This window comes from Homo sapiens, chromosome 2, assembly GCF_000001405.40.
Source record: "Homo sapiens chromosome 2, GRCh38.p14 Primary Assembly".
In the NCBI taxonomy this organism is placed as follows: Eukaryota; Metazoa; Chordata; class Mammalia; order Primates; family Hominidae; genus Homo; species Homo sapiens.
The window spans coordinates 45,677,616-45,697,428 of NC_000002.12; the positions used below are offsets into that span (position 1 = coordinate 45,677,616).

Here is a 19,813-nt window from a genome sequence, read left to right on the forward strand (position 1 = left end):
AAAGCAGTGAAGGTTTTTTAAGCAGAGAAATAACCTGATCAGATTCAAATTGTATCACCCTGTGGGATGGACTAGACATGGATTAGAACATTAGGAAACTGCTTTAGGTATTTAGCCTGGTAAAGATACTCTGGCTTGTGGTCGGGTGTTATTTGCTGGGTGGGCTCTGGCTTAAAAGGCAATTGCTTTAGATCGTTGTGGAAAATTCTGTTTCAGAGACACAACCGCTTCAGATGGGCAGTGAAAAAGACGATGGAAAGGCCAGGACACCACGGAAGTTCTGAAGGGGTAGTGGGAACCGGTAGGAGCATATCAGTAGCTTTCCCTGCCCTTTTGTCTGCCACTGTGATGTAAATATCAACTTGATTTTACATGGAGCTGAGGAACCTTTTAGAACCCAATCGAAGAAGTTGGTGGTTCTACACCGAGCCAGGGGGAAAACTTTGTGGTCACATGGGAATTTATACTTACTTGGTTTCTCTGCCTTTCTCACCAATTTCTTTTTGGTTTCTTGAGAGCTGGTTGTGTGCATATGTGAATACATATTGCATGTTGAAATTTTGGGTTTTCTTTTTTAAACCTTTAATGTTCTACCCATTTCAAATGCATTCAGGATGTATGATGCTGTTTTTATATAATGTAAACTATTCTTACAATGTCTTTTATTTAATTAAAAGAATCAAAGAAACCAAAGTTAAGAATTTAAATTTTATTTTGGCATTTGTTACTGGTTGTGATATATAATTTTGGTAACATTAGTGAGGGATCAGGTTTAAAAAATTTCTCCAATGTTGTCTTCTGCAGATTGCAATTGTCTTGCAACTGCTGTTGGCAAACTAAAAATGCTTTTGCTGGTTAAGGTAACCAGTCATTTCCGAACTTTTTTTCAGTTGTAAGGGCATAGAATGAACGTGCACGCCTGATTTAGTGTATTAAAACTAATATCATGTGAGGACATTTTATAGATAAGAGGTTAGAAGGCAAACGACTCTATTTTGAGAAAAATTTGGAGGGAACCTTTCTTTCAAGATAAATAAATTATTTACTGTCCAGAAGTTTATCATGTAATTATCTGGATTTTTTTTTTTCATTTCTCTGAGCTTTAGCTCAGCCTCGATGGACTCTGATTTCATAAATACATTACATTTTTCAATTTTAGAAGTCATGGGAAGAGGCACACAACTTTGGGAATTTGTGAAACTTAAAGCAAGTATAATGAAGAGATACATACTCATTTTGTTTGTGTTCTGTTTCCATTCCATTAACTTCTACTATCACTCAGGTTCATCCTTGTTGAGGCCTAGACGAGTGGAAGGTTTCTCATTTTGAAGTTAGTTGTTTTTTAATTGGTCACGCAAAAGAAAGGCTTACATTGATTTTGAAAGACAAAACATGTCATTGTTTTTTTCACTAATGCCCAACTTCTACATGGCTGACTGGATATTGTTCAAATTTTCCAAAAGAATAGAAAAGAGAGAGAAACACCCTTCTTTTGGATCCGAAGCCAGTCATGGAAAATTTCATCCTGAAAGGATAATTTTTCATAAATATGCAAGCAGCAGAATGGCAGTGTGGCTGCAATAGAATCTGCCCCAGGACTTCCATGCATAGTACTTTGCTGTAAACACGAAACTACAGGCACACATATACTCAAAAGAATACACAGTATTGGAAGCCTAATTATTTCCACTAAGATTGAGATTATTCCCTCTAAGAGCTATACTGGAGAAAGCAATGTGTCTTACTTCACTTTATTCCACATCAATTCACAAATTTTTATAGCATATATACTCTGTGAAAGGTGATACTGGGCTAAAGAAAATAATTCTGCCCTCAGTTTGCAATCTAACAGGGAAAATAAAGTCCATATATATTAAAATCTAAGTCTGTTTATAATAAGTGCCAAGTAGACAATATGGACAGGAAGTACTGTGGATCTAAGGAGGTCAAGCTCATGGGTGTACAGGTTGTAATAGTTATGAAGCCTTTTCAGTAGCAGTAGAACTTGAATGATGGGGTGGATCGGGATAATGCACAGAGTGGGTGCATGTGGAACACTTACAAGAAGAGGGGATATGGGGAGCTGATGTCCACCAAGAACAGGGAGCCTGTAGTCTGCGGGTGTATGTGGGGCCCTGCTGTAGTGGTGTTGATTGACCTCTGTAGGCACTTTGCCTTCCTTCTTCTGTGTTCCCTCCAGCTAGGGTAGAGAGGACTGGTTCAGCTTGGCTCTTCCGGGCCTGCCCAAAGGACCATGCAACATGAAGGTGAAGTCCTTGTAGAGCAAAGGGCATGAGAAGTCTCTCTTCTAAACCTAGGCTCTGCCCTGTCTCCATAATTTTATTTCATGATGTTAGATCTGGGAAGAGATTTAGCACATTTCTGTATTAGTAGAGCATTTGAGGGAGATGATAACTATTAAACAAGAGAGGTAAAGAGAAACATTCAGAGATGAACAGGTTTATTGGGATAAAGAGTGAGGGTACAGATTTGAGGCTACCATTCACAGACCAGGGCTAGCTATTCTAGAAACAATAGATGTCATTAGACAAATAATGACATGATGGTTTGATATTGGTGTTCTAAACCTCCAGAGGTTAATAACTTTGTTGGATTTCAGTGGTGGACACCAGCAATCTTAGGAGGTCTAGCAGCAAGACTGGTTCTTGCCAAGTTAGGAGATGTTAGTTTGTTAGTGCTGATTGGATGGAATAAGCATACAACCGCTCTGTGTGCCCCCTTCTTTCCCCTCTGCAGGGTGTGAGAATGGAAAAAGAGAATTACACTTCTGATAACCTAAATATTCGCTAACCTGTGGTGGGGATGCTTATTTTGGCCTTTTAGGCGCAAACTTGTTTCTTTAACTGTTAGTTTTATGGTGCCCAGGGTTAAACTTTAAAGTTGGACTGTTTACATGCTTGCGACATGGTGAACCAAACGGGGAAAGTAAGATAAAAACAGGCTTGATAAAGGCCAGCCGACTTCTGCCAGTAGGCTAAAACTCACAGACTCTCAGATATATACATACATATATGGCCAAGATGTCTTGCTGTTAAATGGTCTTTAAGAGAGCAGAAAAGCCTTTTTAACAAATGCACCTATTGTAGAGTCTTTCCAATAGCCTATACCTTTCAACTTGTGAAGATAAATAAGAACATATGGTTTGTCTCAACATGCTTTTAACAAAAACCAGATGAACACATGTAAAACAATTAGAGAGTTGTCTTAGGTACCCTGAAGTTCTTATACAGGATATTTGCTCTTCATTCAACGTTTATTGACTACCTACTGTGTTCCAGGCCACCAGACCCTGTGTTAGAGGTTAGAGATTTAAAACTCTAGTAACTTATGTATTATAATCTATACATGTCATTTAAAGACATAGCATTTTTGGGCTGAGTGCGGTGGCGCACGCCTGTAATCCCAGCACTTTGGGAGGCCGAGGTGGGTGGATCATGAGATAAGGAGTTCAAGACCAGCCTGGCCAAGATGCTAAAACCCCGTCTCTACTAAAAATACAAAAATTAGCTGGGTGTGGTAGCATGCACCTGTAATCCCAGTCACTCGGGAGGCTGAGGCAGGAGAAGCGCTTGAACCCAGGAGGCAGAGGTTGCAGTGAGCCGAGATCACCCCACTGCACTCCAGCCTGGGAGACAGAGCAAGACTCTGTCTCAAAAAAAAAAAAAAAAAAAAAAAAAAAAAAGGCATAGCATTTTCTTAATATAATAAGCCTCCTGGTGGGAAGTAATTGTGATTGAGTGTCTAGGGCAATGTAGTTATCCTAAATTTTAACCAGGTGATTTTAAAATCACCATTTGGAAAATGGTCCCATTATATCTATTTGTAAACTGAGTCATGAAAAAGTTGTCAGAGTACCCAGGTAGGCGTTTATGATGCACCTAAGTACAGGCCAGCCAAAATTGTTTTGGTTTTGGTGCTTCCACCTGTGATTAATGTCCCACTTGACTCCTTGAGCTGTTTCATCTGAAATTATATTCCTGAAATTCATCTGGCTCTGCTGATTATCTCTACCTGGGCCTGTGGATGAGATCAGAGAGACCAGAGCTGGGGCTATTTCTTGGTAATGCAACTGCCATTCCCCATGCGTGGACACAAATAGACAATGCCTGTGGGAATCCAAACCCCAAGGACTGTGAGAGGCATGCATGCCCTGTATTAAAGCAGCAGCCTGGCTTGGTGCTCACTAAGTGCATGGTCAGCAGTCACTACTCCTGTGACATGTATTGTCTGAGTCACTCATTTGGCACTTATTACATCCTGTCTTGGGTTATTAGTAACCTTTGCATGCATTTGTTTCTCCTCCCCAGCCACACCGCCCCAGTGGTGCAGACTCAGGGTTCTCCTCGCCATTCAAATTCTTCACCAGTGCTCTTTATGGGCAGTAAACTTGGTTTTTATTTTAATTATGAAATGGTAGTGTTTAAGCTTATTAAAATATAAGTGTTGTTTATCCAAACAATCATAAATGAACTTATTAAATTTTTTACAAACAGCTTTACTGAGACATCTCTGACATACAAACTGCCCATATTTAAAGTGTAGAATTTGATAAGTTTGAACTTCATAATATGATTTCTTATTCTTTTTTTCAGATAACATGATTTCTAACTCATTTTTTACAGATAACATGATTTCTTACTCATTTTCTTTTTCAAAATGATGTTTGATGAGCACCGATTTTACAGAGGGTGCCTGTCTGAGAGTACGAGGTAGGAACTTTTGAAATAACACACTGGTGGTAAGGGGGTAGTTTGGTTCCCAGATAACTTTGAGATTCTAGTTTTATTTTTTATTTATTTATTTTTTTTGAGACAGAATCTTGCTCTGTTGACCAGGCTGGAGTGCAGTGGCACGATCTTGGCTGACTCCAACCTCTGCCTCCTGGGTTCAAGTGACTCTTGGGCCTCAGCCTCCCAAGTAACTGGGATTACAGGCACACATCACCTTGCCTGGCTAATTTTCTTTTTGAGATGGAGTTTCACTCTTGTTGCCCAGGCTGGAGTGCAATGGCGCGATCTCCACTCACTGTAACCTCCACCTCCTGGATTCAAGCAATTCTCCTGCCTCAGCCTCACAAGTAGCTGGGATTACAGGCATGTGCCACCATGCCTGGCTATTTTTGGTATTTTTAGTAGAAACGGGGTTTCATCATGTTTCAACTCCTGACCTCAGGTGATTCACCCACCTCAGCCTCCCAAGGTGTTGAGATTATAGGTGTGAGCCGCCACGCCCAGCCAAGATTCTAGTTTTCTGCCACGGTAAATTGAGGTGTTCCTGGCATATAGTAGGCAAGAAATAAAGCCTGTTTATTGAAGGCTATGTGTATGTAGTTGTAAAGTCACCTCAGTTCTCTTTACGAAAAAAGAATATTGTACGTCTTTTATTTATTTTTAATGGGGGAATAGTTTGTAATGGCCTTAGTAACTTTGAGCATTTTATCCTCTTGACAAATCCAGCAGAGATTTTACTTCCTGAATGAAAGGATACTGGCTAGCCAAGCGTTGGTTGAAATGTTCAGTGGGGAAAGTAAGTTGATATTCCTATCACCGCAGAATCTCTTTGTCTCTGGATTTCCCTTTGATTTTCACAAGGACTGAGCAAGTCCTGCAGGTAATTCAGTGCCAGGGCAGGCTAGCTGAGTTTTAATTGATGCTAATTAGCACCCCCATAGACTGTGACAATTTTTTCCCCTCAAGCAGTCAGCCAAGTGGCATTAGGAAATGTGAGACATCTTTCTTTGGAATCGTCATAGGAGCAGAACTATTTTCAGGCCCAGTCTCCTTGGCAGGTCTTGCCCTTCTCAGAAATAGTGAGGAAATGAGATAAGAAAAGTAATACCCCGAGGAGTAAGGTGCCAAGTAGTTCTAGACCCAACTGTGGGCTTAGGACAGCAGGGAGAGGATGCTGAAGGATTTTGCTCTCAAGTACCTTTGCTTCTAGTTGGAAAGAATGAGAGATAGGATGGAATGAAGTCTGACTGCTGCATGGGAGCTGGGGGGAAATGCTTTGCGGGAGCAGTATTTATGGCAAGTTCAGAAGACATCTTCTTACCTTGAACAAGTCATTAGAGCTGGAACTGTATACTGATGACAAAAGATAAAATATAACAAGATAAACGGTCCCAGGCAGTCTTGTGTGCTCCGTCCTCCCAGCTATACTCCACTGGAATCCAGTGTCTGCCTTTGGTGGTAGATGTTCCTGTTTCTCCATCCCTTGGCTAGATATATATTATCCATTGATAGGCAGCTAAGTTTGCAGCCAATTCTCAATCATTTCTTGTGGTGGGGGACAGAAATAATGTGGGAAGCTAAGTTCACCATCAACCCAGGGACTTATTAGCTGGAAGTTTCAAACTGCCTTGCCACTGAACACCATAAACAACTTCAGACCACAGCTGACTTGGTGTTTGCTGGTAGGAGGGAGTGAGAAATTATGCCAGAGGTGGGAAAACTTGTCAAGTCAAGGGGGAGGTCTCTTTATTCTTCCCCTGTGCATTCAGAGAGGTGATGGTGTCTCTCTACCTCATTGAAACCTGCTCCCAGGAGCTTCTGAAGTTGGCCATTTAGAACCCAGTGTGAATATAAGGCAGTGGATTCCCTTTTTCAGGAAATTTGTATTTTGAATCTAGACCTCTTTGATTAACCAGAAGGTCTTGGCTCCTGGTGAAGAAACCATGAGGAGATGGGGGGATAGGCAAGCATGATTCTGAAATGACGCTGGGGAGGATCAGGGCTATTTCATCTGTGCTCACATGAACACCACAGTCAAGCCTAAGGCTGGGCTTTCAGATATCTGACCTAGACTCTCTATAGGAAATATATTCTGCCTTGCGGCATAGCATGCACCATAAGGAGCAGTGGAATAGCACTTACCCTCACTACATTGAGAGGCATTTGATCTATGTTAATAACCTATTATTTTACTTAAAAAATGTTGGTTGGACCTACAATATTGATTTTACAACCCCCTAGTGGCATGTGACCTACAGGGCTAAGCTGAGTTGCTCTTTCTGGTTTCCTGCATCTGGGCGCCTAGTCAGGGGGCAAGTTGGGACTGCACCTCGATTTTCATTTCTTTTGCCAAATGGGCACCCAGACTTGGGGCTGGGTCTGCCAGAGGTGGCAGTGCTTTCTGTGACGTGTGTAAGGGGTAGTGTGCGCATCCAAGGAGGGAATGCATGGGACTTGTGTGTCCCCAGTCAACCCCATTTGTAATTTGCAAATAGGATCTGTGTGGCTGGCAGGGGGCTGGCAGTGTGCACCAGAAAGAGGAAACAGAAGGTAGACTCCCAGGTGAGGAAGAGCTAGATCCAGAGGGAGAAACGACACCCGCCCTGGCTTTGGCACTGGTTAGAAAGTCTGTTCCTGGCTTTTTCCTCATGGCCCTTCTTTCACTTTGTGGTCTGAAAATTGGCCAAAAGATCAGGAAGGTGCTGAATCAAGACGAGAATAAAAGGGCACTTGAAACCTAAACACGGGCCAATGACTCCTGGATAACCAAAACCTGGCTGAAGGGAAGAGCTAACATTCTATCTGCATGGAAAAGTAAAGGAAGATCAGTTCTCTGATGAAAATGAGAAATATTATTATTAAGTTGATCAATACTTTGTTGAAAACTTTCTCTGTACCTGGTACTAAGATACTCTGTTGTTTAAATAGCTTCTTATAGTCACTGTGGATTACAGTAATTTCTTTTTACAAGATGTAAGATTTGCCCATCTGCATAAATACCCATATTTTAATTCTATGATTTGTCTTTACTTCTAGCTACTCACTAAACATACATTTCCTGAAAGCAGAAGAGATTCAATTGCTGTTATTCACATGATTACTATCGTGCCAGGAGGGAGTGTCAGGGAAGTTAACAAAACAGGCCAGGTGTGGTGGCTCACAACTGTAATCCCGGCACTTTGGGAGGCCGAGGTGGGCTGATTGCTTGAGGTCAGCAGTTTGAGACAAGCCTGAGCAACATGGTGAGACCCCAGCTCCAAAAAAAAAAAATACAAAAATTAGCCAGCCATTGTGGTATGTGCCCGTAGTCTCTTGACTGTAGGCAACTAGAAGTCTTTCCCCAGGTACGGGGGGCAGTGGTATAGGACAGCTTTTAAGGGGGTAGAATGTGACTCAGGCTTTCGTGGACTGGGTAGTATTTGGATAAGCCTGGTGACAGTCTGCACACTATAGACTAGAGCACTCTGCTGTGACAGGTATGCCTGAATAGAACTCACGAAGATCCTGCTCTGGCAATTTAGTCACTGCCTATCCACGGATAGAACCCTGACTATTCAGTAGTCACAATAGACAAATGATAGCTTAGCAGATTTTGGTTATTATTACTATTTTAAAATTTAAGTATAGGAGATTTTGCATCAATCATATAGAATCACATATGGAATTTCTTAGAATGGGATCTTAGTGCCTTATCTTGTATATGTCCTGTATAAAACGCACAGCTGATCCTATGAAGCCTGGCAAGTTTTAAAGGGAAGGAGTATGCAAGCAGAAACCCAGAGGGCTTTAGCAGGGTAAATGTAGATGGAGAGGCCTAGAGAAAAACTTTTCCTTCTTTATAATTTTCCTGCTTCTATTCTGTTTCACCTAAATCCCAGAGCTGAAATCAGCAATTTAATTGTCTTCCTTTCTCTTCTTCCGTAAGGGTTTGCAGAATACAGAGCTAACAAGATTACATGGGGCTTAGGGGGTCATGCTGCCAACAACATAAGGAGGTCTACTACTACTGCCTTTATTCACCATTTTTCTGTGGGCACTAGCTGATGCACTTGGACAAAAGAGAAAAAGGTATACATGCAGAAAGAGAGAAATTGGCTTATCATGTGCATATGATATGCTTATATGCTATACAATATGCTATTTATTACAAATGATAAGGTAATACAGTGAGGTGGCTTGACATAGAATTAATATACAAAAATAACCGTAGAGAAAAACAACAAGGTAGAAAATAGAATGGAAGCAAATGCTTCATTCATAGTCAGGATAAGTGAGAATAATAAAGATGAACTACCTCTGCCAGATATTGCATATTTTAAACCATATTATGGTTTAAATATACTGAATATAGTTTAATATATTTAAACTATATTTAAGTAGTATAGAATTGATACTGTGTAGACTGAGAAATCAGTAGTACAGAATAGAAATGGAAAATTGGCGTCCAGAGCTAGACACCAATATAGAATGAAAATTTGTCTTTGGTGGCATTTTATATCAGTGAAGAATGGTAGATTATTCAATAGTTTGGGACAACTGGGTGGCCTTCTGGAAAAACAAAAATTGGATCTATACCTAGTTTCTTCTGCCAACATAAATGCCAGATGAATCAAATATTTAAATATTAAAAGCAATAGAAGGAAAAGGAGAAATTTTAAAAATCTTGTGGTGGTACAGTCTTCCTAGGTATAACACAAACCATGGAAATCAAAAAGAGAGAGATTGATATATTAAATTTCCAAAAACAAAACAAAACAAGCAGGTTTCATGGAGCCCGAGTCCATGAAAGCTTCATGGACCAACATAAACAAAGTCAAAAGACAAACAATGAATTGAAAATCACACATAAAAACCAAACGACTAATATCCTTAATTTATAAAGTATTCTAATAAATTAGTAAGAAAAGATCAATAACATAATGAAAAAATGGAATAAAGGTATAAACAGACAATTGACAGAAAAAAGAAATATACATGACTCTTAAATATACAGAAAGATATCCAACTTACAATAGGTTACCATTTTTATTAACTGTTAGAATGATAAACATAAAAACATTTATTGTTGAAGGTGGAGGGAACAAGACATCCATGCATAATGGGAACATAAATTGGAACAGCTTCTACAGTGGGTGTTTTGATAATCTTTATCCAAAAATGCACATACCCATGAACTCAGTAATTCCACTTCCAGAAATGTTGTCCCACAGAAATATTTATGTGTGAAGATATATTTGAGAATATTTCTTGTAACATCTAAATGTCTTTCATTACTCTATGTTTCATTTTGCTTATCTGTAAGGTGGCAATAGGGATTCTAGTTTCCTGACACTTGAAATGGCTGGTATAGGAGCACCTCAGAAACAAGCTAGGCTGCTAGAAAGAAGAAAGGTATTCTCTAAATTTAGAACATTATTCCAATATTTCAGAAAAAGGGAGAGTCCTAATTATAAGGTAGTTGCGCTGTGCTTTGTAATGCCAGGGCAGAGACAGCCCAGGTATTAGGTTCTCGCTTGCTTTTGTGCTCTGTTTGGAAGCACGTTGGAGACCAGTGTGATGGGAGTGGCTGGTGGCCTTTATTGTATGGGGTCCTCAGAGTTGGAGCGTTAGCACCCAGAAGATGTGCTCCTCCCCACTAGGAATCTAGCTCTGGCCCTCTGGCAGTGTCTCAAGGGAGAAGTTTCTCTAGGGCCATTTTCTTGACACCCAGCAAATAAGAATCCCTTATATTTGACAACATTATGTTCACACCAACATTAATTTGACTCAGATAATGATGCCACCTGTTACACAGTCCATCAGCATAATTATAGGTGAGGAAATTGCTAAGAGAGGTCCCTGAGCAGTTGGAGGCCAGAAGGAAATATTTTCAATTAATTAATGGCTGGGCAGGTAAATTTTTTTAGTATTAAAAAAATTAAGAATTCCCTAGTGTAAGATGTCATGGCTGCTAACTGTCTAGAAAGGGGTACATATCAGAAGAGGGTAAGCTGAGATTCATGGATGTTCAAACTTTGGTTGTAAGCACTTTTCTTCTTTAAAATATTATTTTAAAGATACTGTGTTAGGTTTTTCTTCTTTTTTTCCCCCTTAACCCCAAAACAAACTCTAATAAAATAACCATTCTGTGAGTTTATAAGTTGCACTGGCTAGAATTTAGCAAAATGAAAAGAATTTAACTTGGATGAATATATTATGCCTAAGGAATTGAGCATCAGTCTGGGCTTTGTTAATGGTGAATGCCTAAACCACCAAATGATTCTGTTGTTTTTGTGGGTTTCTTGAAAGAGACCAAGTATTTAGACTCTCCCTGACTTATGTAACACTTCAGCTATTGCATTGGTAAGTCAAGAAAAATAAGGAACAGAGAACAGGTTTGAAATAAAGCTTCCTATCTGGGTTGCAAGGATACACTTTCTAATTATTTGTTATGATAATTTTATCAATTGCACCTACTGCAAGTGCTCCTTGTCCTTGGATCAATGTGCATTAGCCAGAGACTCTCTTATCAGTAAGCTTCTGAATTGCCTGTATGAGGCACAAATCGTTGGTTGCTCATCCACAACATAAGAGACTTGATGTTGGCCTTTTGGGAGCTCATGTTTCAAATCAGATTAGAGCTAATGTGGCCAGAACATAAGAACACAAGGAAAAATGAACAAAATGTTGTAGGTATGAATGTGCTGTGGGGCGTGCTTTGTTTAAAGCAAACCTCATAAAAGAAGAGCAGGGTTAAAGAAGCCTATTAAGTTAGGGATCACTTATTTGCTTTACAAGAAGGGAGGGACTTAAGCACAGCTCTTGTGGCACATTCGGAATAGAATTTGACTTACAAAAAAGTCTAGATCACAGATTCCGAGTTGAAAGCATGTCATATAAGTGAGATAAAGAACAGTGATGCCTTATTTAACTGGGGAACAGATTTCAGGTAACCTTGGGTAACCAGAACGTGATCATGAATCAGAAAGTGCTGTGGAAGAATAGAAAGAACTGAACTGAACTGAATGGCCAGGGGTCCGGCCTCCCACGACCCCCAATCCCATTCTCTATACCTTGTTTCCTATTGGCGAAAAGAAGGTATTAGACAGTTTCAAAGTCTCTCCCCTTGTTAAAAATTGATAATGTAATCTATCCTTTATTTGTTTTTATATATTTTATATATTTATATATTTGTAATATTTAAGAAAAGATTTAATTTAATAAATATACATAGCAAAGCATTCAAACAGTGAAAAAGTAAATGCTTAAAAGTTTGTTTTCCAGCCAGGTGTGGTGGCTCACTTCTGTAATTCCAATGCTTTGGGAGGCCGAGGGAGGTCAGGCATTTGAGACCAGCCTGGGCAACATGGTAAAACCCTGTCTCTACTTAAAATACAAAGATTAGCCAGGCATGGTGGTGTGTGACTGTAGTCCCAGCTACTTGGGAGGTGGAGGCAGGAGAATCACTTGAACCTGGGAGGCAGAGGTTGCAGTGAGCAGAAGTCACACCACTGCACTGGTGTGACAGGCTGGGTGACAGAGCAAGACTCCATCTCAAAAAAAAAAAAAAAAAAATGCTTGTCTTCCCCTTATCACAGACTCCCACTTCCCTCTCTAGAGACTAGTTCCTTGGATATCCTTCCAGAAATACTCTGTGCATTCTATAAACTTATGCATATGTCTTTTGGAAACAAACAGGAAAATCATGCACACTATCCTGCTTCTTGCTTTTGTTACTTACCAATTTTGGAAATTGTTATGATAGTCTCATATTGATCTGCTTTCTTCTTCTGAAAGACTCTTCAGTGTAGTAATCCATAGTTCAATACTTAGTTGAACTAGAATCTTGGTAAATACTTCATTTATTTCATAAATCTTCTCTTCAGTTCCCTGCAGCTCTAAATTTCTATGACTGTAACATCTAAGTTAAAAAGATGTCTGAGATGTCTGAGTAAGAAAAAAAATAGTTGTTGCAAATCACATGTGCTGCTTCTCTTGGGGGATAAAGGCCCATTTGTTCTTGGTCCCTGACCACTGACATGTATGGTGCAAAGCAGGGGCTGAAAACACTGGTCCATATGTCAGCAGAGGCAGGGGGCGAAGGAAGCACATTTATTCACAGTGGAGACAGGCCTCTTGCATTGTCAATTTTACCCGTGTGAGAATTGTTGTTCCTGTTGGTGACTGGGTCACTGATAAAAGATTAAATCAGATTGGAGACAAAAACTGCACTGCCTTTTAAAGCAATATATACATGTAAGAGGTTTTTCATGTTTAAATGTTAAAAAGTCATTTGGGGTTACAGATGAACCTCTTAAAGAGAAGGCTGTGTATATCGTGTGGGAGCTGGAAGAAAGGGAGTTGTAGAATTTGAGAGGTAGAAGGTTTGAGTGATTTTCCCTCTCTGTATAATGATCTGAAGTGAAGAGACCAATGTACTTTTTTAGGGCTGGACTGGGGCACCAGTGGAAAGGCAATCATAGACCATCCAGGTGCTCCCAGAGTTCCCAGAGTTTAGGGACAACTTGGCATGGGCCATGCTGGCTTACTCTGAAGCAGATACAGCACATACCTTAGGGTGCCAGCAAAGTCAGGGCACTGCAAATTTATTTTGGAAATAGTTTTATGTTTAATATTTACCAAAAAGCTTCAAAATAGCCATCATGGGAAAAGCCTGAACTTCGCTGGATTTCTTTCTCTTATGGCTTAGGATTAGATTTATTTAAAATTACATACATGGGGAGCATTAAGTTTCAGGACTAAGGTTCTAAAAGCTGTAACCAGGCCAGAATGGGGCCTTTGGAAACCAGCGAGCTGTGTCCGTCAGTGGGCTGGGCGGTTCTCCATTACAATCTGTGCAAGGAAGAATGAGCCGTTTGCATTTCCGTGGCAGGAATAGTCATTTTGCCACCCTCAGATTTGATTTCCTCAGAGGAACAGGCTGGGTGCACCTGTTGCTGGTCTGCAGTGTCTCCAGAGAGACTGTGGATTTTCACTGTGACTCATGAGAATTATTTATGGCCACCAAGCTGGTGGACACCAGCAGACTGAGTGACGCAGGCTCAGGGAGTGTTTCCCCTCTGTCCATCAAAGGTTTTTCTGGAATGCCTTCAATATATTGGTTTTTAGCATTTGTGCAAGAAAGAGAAAAGAGAATAACTAACTGTCTGGCACATTCAGTAGTGTTCTTCCCAGTCCATTCATTCCTAAAAGGCTTTCAGTTCAGGCATCCGCTTCGTTGACTTGAAAGTGCATCAGTATCAATATTGGCATCTTATCATTATACTCCACTTCGTGTGTGAAGAGAGACAGTTTTTATCAGCCTTCCCTCCCCACGCCCCCTTTAATGAATCTAATTTCTGCTGCTGGTATTTGGTATTTGAGGTCATTAGCTCAGTGGAACAGAGCCCTGTGCTAATGAGTACAAGGTCACAGCTTTGCATGGAGGCGGCACTCTTTCCTGTAGCGGACACCTGCAGGCCCAGCCAACTGCTTTGCCAGCATTTCCATGAGGCATGGGAAGCCAGGTGAAGAGGGTACAGGTGGCTTAGAACTCAGCCCATCTTTGTCCTTCTCTGGACACAACACACCGCTCTGAGGTTCTACTGACTATGTGTCCGTTGTTCTATCTTAGGAAAATGATAGTTTCAGTGTTAATAATAACAGTCAAGCTTCAGAGGTTATTTTTTTAAAAAACCTTCACTCATGGAAAAAGTTTCTTGGTGTGGATGGTTCATTTTTGTTCATGAATTCACCAAGAAGTTAATGAGTTTTAAGGGCTCTATGGACAGTGAGGAGTCTACAAAGGTAAATAAGATGCAGCTCCCACCTGTCTTAGTTTCCCAGGACTGCCATAACAAAGCACCACAAACTGGGTGGATTACAAGCACAGAAATTTATGACTCTTACTTCTGGAAACTAGAAGTCCTAAATCAAGGTGTTGGCAGGGCCATGTTCCCTCTGAAACATGTCGGGGAGTTTTTTCTTGTCATTTCCACCTTCTGGTAGCCCCAGGTACTCCTGGGCTTGTGTTAGCACCGCTCTGCTCCCTGCTCTGCCTTTACAGGGCCCTTTTCCTCTCCCTGTCTTCTCCTCTTCTTATAAGGACAGTCATTGAATTAGGGCCCACCCTAATGACCTCATCTGAACTTGATTACTCTGCAAAGGCCATATTTCCAAATCAGGTCACATTCATCAGTACCGAGGGCTAGGACTTCTACATACATTTTTAGGGGACACAATTCAACCCATAAAACCATTTGTCCTCAAGATGCTTCCAATTCAGTGAGGGAGACTGATGGAAAAGATGATGGAATCAGTGCTACAAGGGGCCGGAGCACTGTGCTGAAGAGTCCAAGGGAGGACACACACACACACACACACACCCATGCACACACACCCCCACACACACCCCACTCCACCCCACACTAAACACACATCTATCACATGATGTAGAATCGGTCCATTCTAAATGCTCTGTGGGTGAGTTTGCCCTGGCATGTGGGCTCGAGGGATGAGTGGAATTTTAGTTGTAGAGAAGTGAGCCGTGCAGGGTGTTTCAAGCTGAACCTGAGCAATGTCATGGATGCACTTTTGGTCTGGCCTGGGAAGGAAGATGCTTCTGGTAACAATGTGTAAGGGAAGGATTGGACGCTGGAGACTTGAGGCTGACTGAGAGATTCTGCAGGGGGCCAAGGTGGCTCAGGAGGCCTGAACTTGGAAGTGGTGGTGGGATGAGAAGTCAGGAACAGATCCTGAGGAGTGCGGGGTAGGGGAGTGAAGTAGGTGGGAGGTGGCAATGGATGGGTGGGTGGGAGAAGGTCAGAGGCGACCCTCAGACTTCCTGAAAGGGCCGATTGGGAGAAAGGTGAAGACTTTATTTAGGCAAGATAGGGGGTTCAGGCAGAGAGTAAACTTGAAAGGAAGATAAGTTTGCTTGTAAAGATGTTGAATCTGAGATCATTAAAGCTCCAGTGTAGATGCCCAGCACCAAGTGAGAAACTCGAGATTAGCATTCTGGAAGAGAGGCCAGGGCTGGAGGTGAGAATGGCAGTGTGATGGTTGGAACCATGGGGGTGGCTGAGGTGACCTGGAGAGAAAGTGGACAGAAGAGAAGCAGGGCAAGGCCCAGGTTTAGGGAATGCCCCGAGGCATGGGTAGGAGATGGTGCAGGCCGGAAGGGCAGGGAGGAAGGTCGAGAGGAGATGGTCACCCAGCAGGGCTGGGTCCTGTCTTGAGCTAGCTGAAAATAATGGAAAATGAGGAGGCTGTCGGATCTGACAGCTGATGTTCTCTCTGAGAGGCTGGTCTCAAGAAAACTCTCCACAAAGTGACTGGGGCAGAATCCAAATTGCAAGAGGTTAAGGAGAGGTAGAATAAGGCAGTCGGGGTGGACCGTCACCCCTGAGAGGTTTGGCAAGGAGAAGTGAGAAGGCATGGACATCTGAAGAAGCAGGTTAAAGAGAAGGAATTTTTAGTTAGGGAGGAAGATAGAGAGGACAGTACATTGATAAGGCGAATTCTGGAAAAGATGGCAGGTCCTAGGATCCATAGCAGGGAGAGAAGTTTGACTGAGACTTAAGGGAAGTTAGGGAACAGATAGGGAGTCGTGGTGTGAAAGAAGTCCGACTCGTGTGGAAATGTTTAATCCGTGAGGGTCACTCTTCCAGCCACCTTAATCCTGGGGGATGGAATTTTTGACCCGTGGACACAGATTTTGTGGTTATTTATTTCTGCTGTATCCTAACGATATGAGGATGAGAGGCTTACACCTCAGCTCCAAGAGCTTCCCATAGCTTCTTGTGGCCATTTCCAGAACTAAGGGGAGCTCTGGCATTCTAGATAGGCTTTCTCTAGCGTCAAGTATTAAAGCCAGGTAAAATGTCTCATCTAGGAAACGACAGTAGGAGCCTGAGCTGGAAATAGCAATTATTTTCCCTTCATCACCATCCAGGGGAAGAACTATGCTTTGCCCTCGCCCCTGCCTCTCTCTAGATCTGAATTTTTGGATCTGGATATGGATGATGGGCAGAAAAGTGAGGATGGGTTCAGGGAACATGGAGTATATGACTTCAACCCCATGCCACGTTTATTGGGTGCCAAAGGTTTCACTCCAGGCCTTCCCCATCTAAGTGCTAACAGACACAAGAGGAACAGGTTTCCTGTCTTCATGGAACTTATGTGGGACTAACAGCCTGTCCTATGCTAGTGGGCAAGACAAGAATTCCCTGGGAAATGCATATGAATGAGTTGTGTGGTTGAGGAAGGAGAGGCAAAGTCAATGTTGGTTAGAGTGGCTGAGAAAGGTTCAGGGAGGACATGAGTGAGACTTCGAATGGTGGGTGGATTGGATAGATGGGTAAGACATGGAATAGCATCTTGGGTGGATGGCCAATATGCTGGAAGCAATGTGGTGTGTCCATGAGACAGTAAGACTGGCAGACTACAGGAGAGTGTATCTGGGGGTGGATGGTAATCAGGTAGGACAAACCTGAAATGTGGAGGGTTTTAAATATCAGGCTGAGTAGTGTGGGCTTTTTCCTGAGAGTGGCTGAGAGCTACTAGAAGTTAAAGAGAAGGGATCACATGAGGAGATCGGTGTTTTGGAAAGAGACCTGCCTCTCCCTTCTCCTTCAGTTTGGCTATAAAGAGCCAACTGCCTCATGTAAGATGCATTGGTCCTGCCCTCTGCCCCTGTGAGACACATACAAGGTGGCAGTTCCTTCTCCCTGTTTTTCCTGAGTCAGGAAACTTTCTCCCAGCAGCTTGGATGTATTCCTTCAAACTGTACAGAAGGAAGGTTATTGTAAAGTTTGAGGAGGAAAATCTGTTATTCAGTGTTTCTCCTTTTTTCTCTTCTTCTTGACTTTGGTCTCTTCCCCTTAGCCTCTAAGGATCTTGGTGACATTCCTTTTTGGATTTTCTCTGTTCCCGCGATGATTTTAATGAAACCATCACCACCCACAGAAAAGAACCCAGAGTCAGGCTGGAGGTAGAGAGGTCAACTTCATTACAGTCTTTCTTTCCTTTTCTGCAGGGAGATGGTGTATGTGTTAGATAAATGTACCACCACTTCACCAAATAACTACCCATCACAGAAATCCTTGAAGAAATCCTAAAATAACAATAATAGAATATGTATAATAGGCTGGGCATGGTCGCTCATGCCTATAATCCCAACACTTTGGGAGGCTGAGGTGGGTGGATCATTTGAGGTCAGGAGTTCAAAACCAGCCTGGCCAACATGGTGAAACCTTATTGCAGCTAAAAATACAAAAATTAGCCGGGTGTGATGGTATGTGCTTGTAATCCCAGCTAATCAGGAGGCTGAGGCAGGAGAATTCTTGAACCCGGAGGCGGAGGTTGCAGTGAGCTGAGATCACGCCACTGAACTCCAGCCTGGGCAATGGAGTGAGACTCCGTCTCAAAAACAAAACAGAAACCACTAGTAGAATATGTACCATGCTTGTAGGATGCAAGGTCTCATGGGGAAGAGGGTGGAGAGCAGAAAAAAGAAACAGATTTTAACGTCAGGCTGACAAGAGTTTATTGTACACATCAGTGGTTAGAATAATTACTTAAAATTTTTCTTTTTTTATTTTATTATTATTATACTTTAAGTTTTAGGGTACATGTGCACAATGTGCAGGTTAGTTACATATGTATACATGTGCCATGCTGGTGTACTGCACCCATTAACTCGTCATTTAGCATTAGGTATATCTCCTAATGCTATCCCTCCCCTCCCCCCACCCCACAACAGTCCCCAGAGTGTGAGAAATTTTTTTTTTTGTAGAACAGGGGTCTCTCTGTGTTGCACAGGCTGGTCTTGAACTCCTGGCCTCAAGTGATCCTTTCACCTAAGCCTCCCAAAGCAATGGGCCTATAGGTGTGAGCCACCACACCTGGCCGAAATAACTTTTTTAAATTATAAAAAAAGGCTTTATTTCTATTGAATACATATTTACAGTCTTTACATATTTACATATTTAACAGGAATAAAGCCTTTTTTTATAATTAAATAAATTATATTGCCAGGGCCCCAAAAGAGCCACCTTGTTTTACAGGTCCCTGGGGCATTTGGCAGGAGGCAGTGGAAGTGCACCCATCTCCTGGCCTGCTCACTTCGAGTTTCCCTTGAGGAGTTTTGTGTGTCTTTGCCCTGATCTCTCCATTTTACATTTTGGGTTTGGTGTTGGCCTCCCCACAGGGCTGTGTGGTGGGTGAAGCTGCTACTCAGCTTCATCTTTTCACTGGGTTCGAAACAGGCTTTTCTGAATAAGCAAAATGCATGACGAGTAGCTTTGGAGTCTGTGGCGGTAAGCGGAGGCCCAGAAACCTGATTCTCAGTTTTCCTACCCAGCTAGAATCTTCTCATGGGAAGTTGAGAATGCTGATTGTCACATTGTTCCACAGAGTGAAATCTGGCCACCATGCGGCCTCTCATCCTGATAACAAGCTTTTCATTAGACTTTTAGACTCACTGCAGAGCTCAGAGGCTTTGAAGCCCTGGTGAGGACCTAGAAGTGACTGCTGGGGACTGTGTTGATCATGTGACTGGTCTCATGACCAGAGCCCCCAGTCACAGACCTGCTTTCCTCCCAGGGCCCCACACCCCACTTCCTTTTTATTCCAGGTCTTCTTTCCCCCTTGGCTTTTGTACTTGCCACCAAGGCCCATGTTTGGTGCAGAGCTGAAAGCAAACCTTTTTGTGACTACATTAATGTCCATGGTAATATTAAAGATTATCCCCTGATTGGAAAAGGTGGATGTTGTTCTAATACTTAGGAACATGCCTCCAAATAAGATGAAATGCTCTAGTGTAGCTGACAGTGACTGCATCGTCCTTTCAAAGAGTCCATGCTCTACCTGGGAGGGCCTGTGTAGGTGAAGAGGGGGCGCACCCCACTGGCTGGCCTGGCCCTCCTGGCTGCCCACATTCTGCTTGGCTCTGGTCCGGAGGTTTTATGGGGGATCTGGAGAGCTCTGGTCTGGCTGACGCTGTTGCCCTCTCTGCCTCTTAATGGCGCTCTGACCTTCTATTGTTTTTGGCCAAAATATGAGTGAAAATCCATTTTATTTAT

The 19,813-nt window shown here is 42.1% G+C and overlaps 1 protein-coding gene across 16 annotated transcripts in view, besides 1 other annotated feature; it reads left to right on the top strand.

Moving 5' to 3' along the window:
* The window catches only part of PRKCE (protein kinase C epsilon), a 536,712-nt gene that overhangs the window by 26,337 nt on the left and 490,562 nt on the right, over positions 1-19,813 (top strand). For 3 of the 16 annotated variants that reach the window (XM_047445096.1, XM_047445095.1, XM_047445097.1), the window contains exon 2: positions 217-8,819. The exons of 9 other annotated variants lie outside the window; for them this stretch is intronic. The gene's annotated coding sequence lies outside the window, so the exon portion shown is untranslated. The remainder of the gene's footprint in view (positions 1-216; positions 8,820-19,813) is intronic. 4 more of the 16 variants (XM_011532971.4, XM_017004490.3, XM_011532975.4 and 1 more) reach the window with 3 other exon arrangements.
* Positions 18,187-18,266: an enhancer, noted in NCBI's record as "active region_15688". NCBI's record gives its function as "activates an Ori minimal core promoter by ATAC-STARR-seq in GM12878 lymphoblastoid cells {active_cell/tissue: GM12878}" and the evidence as "EXISTENCE:reporter gene assay evidence [ECO:0000049][PMID:35858748]".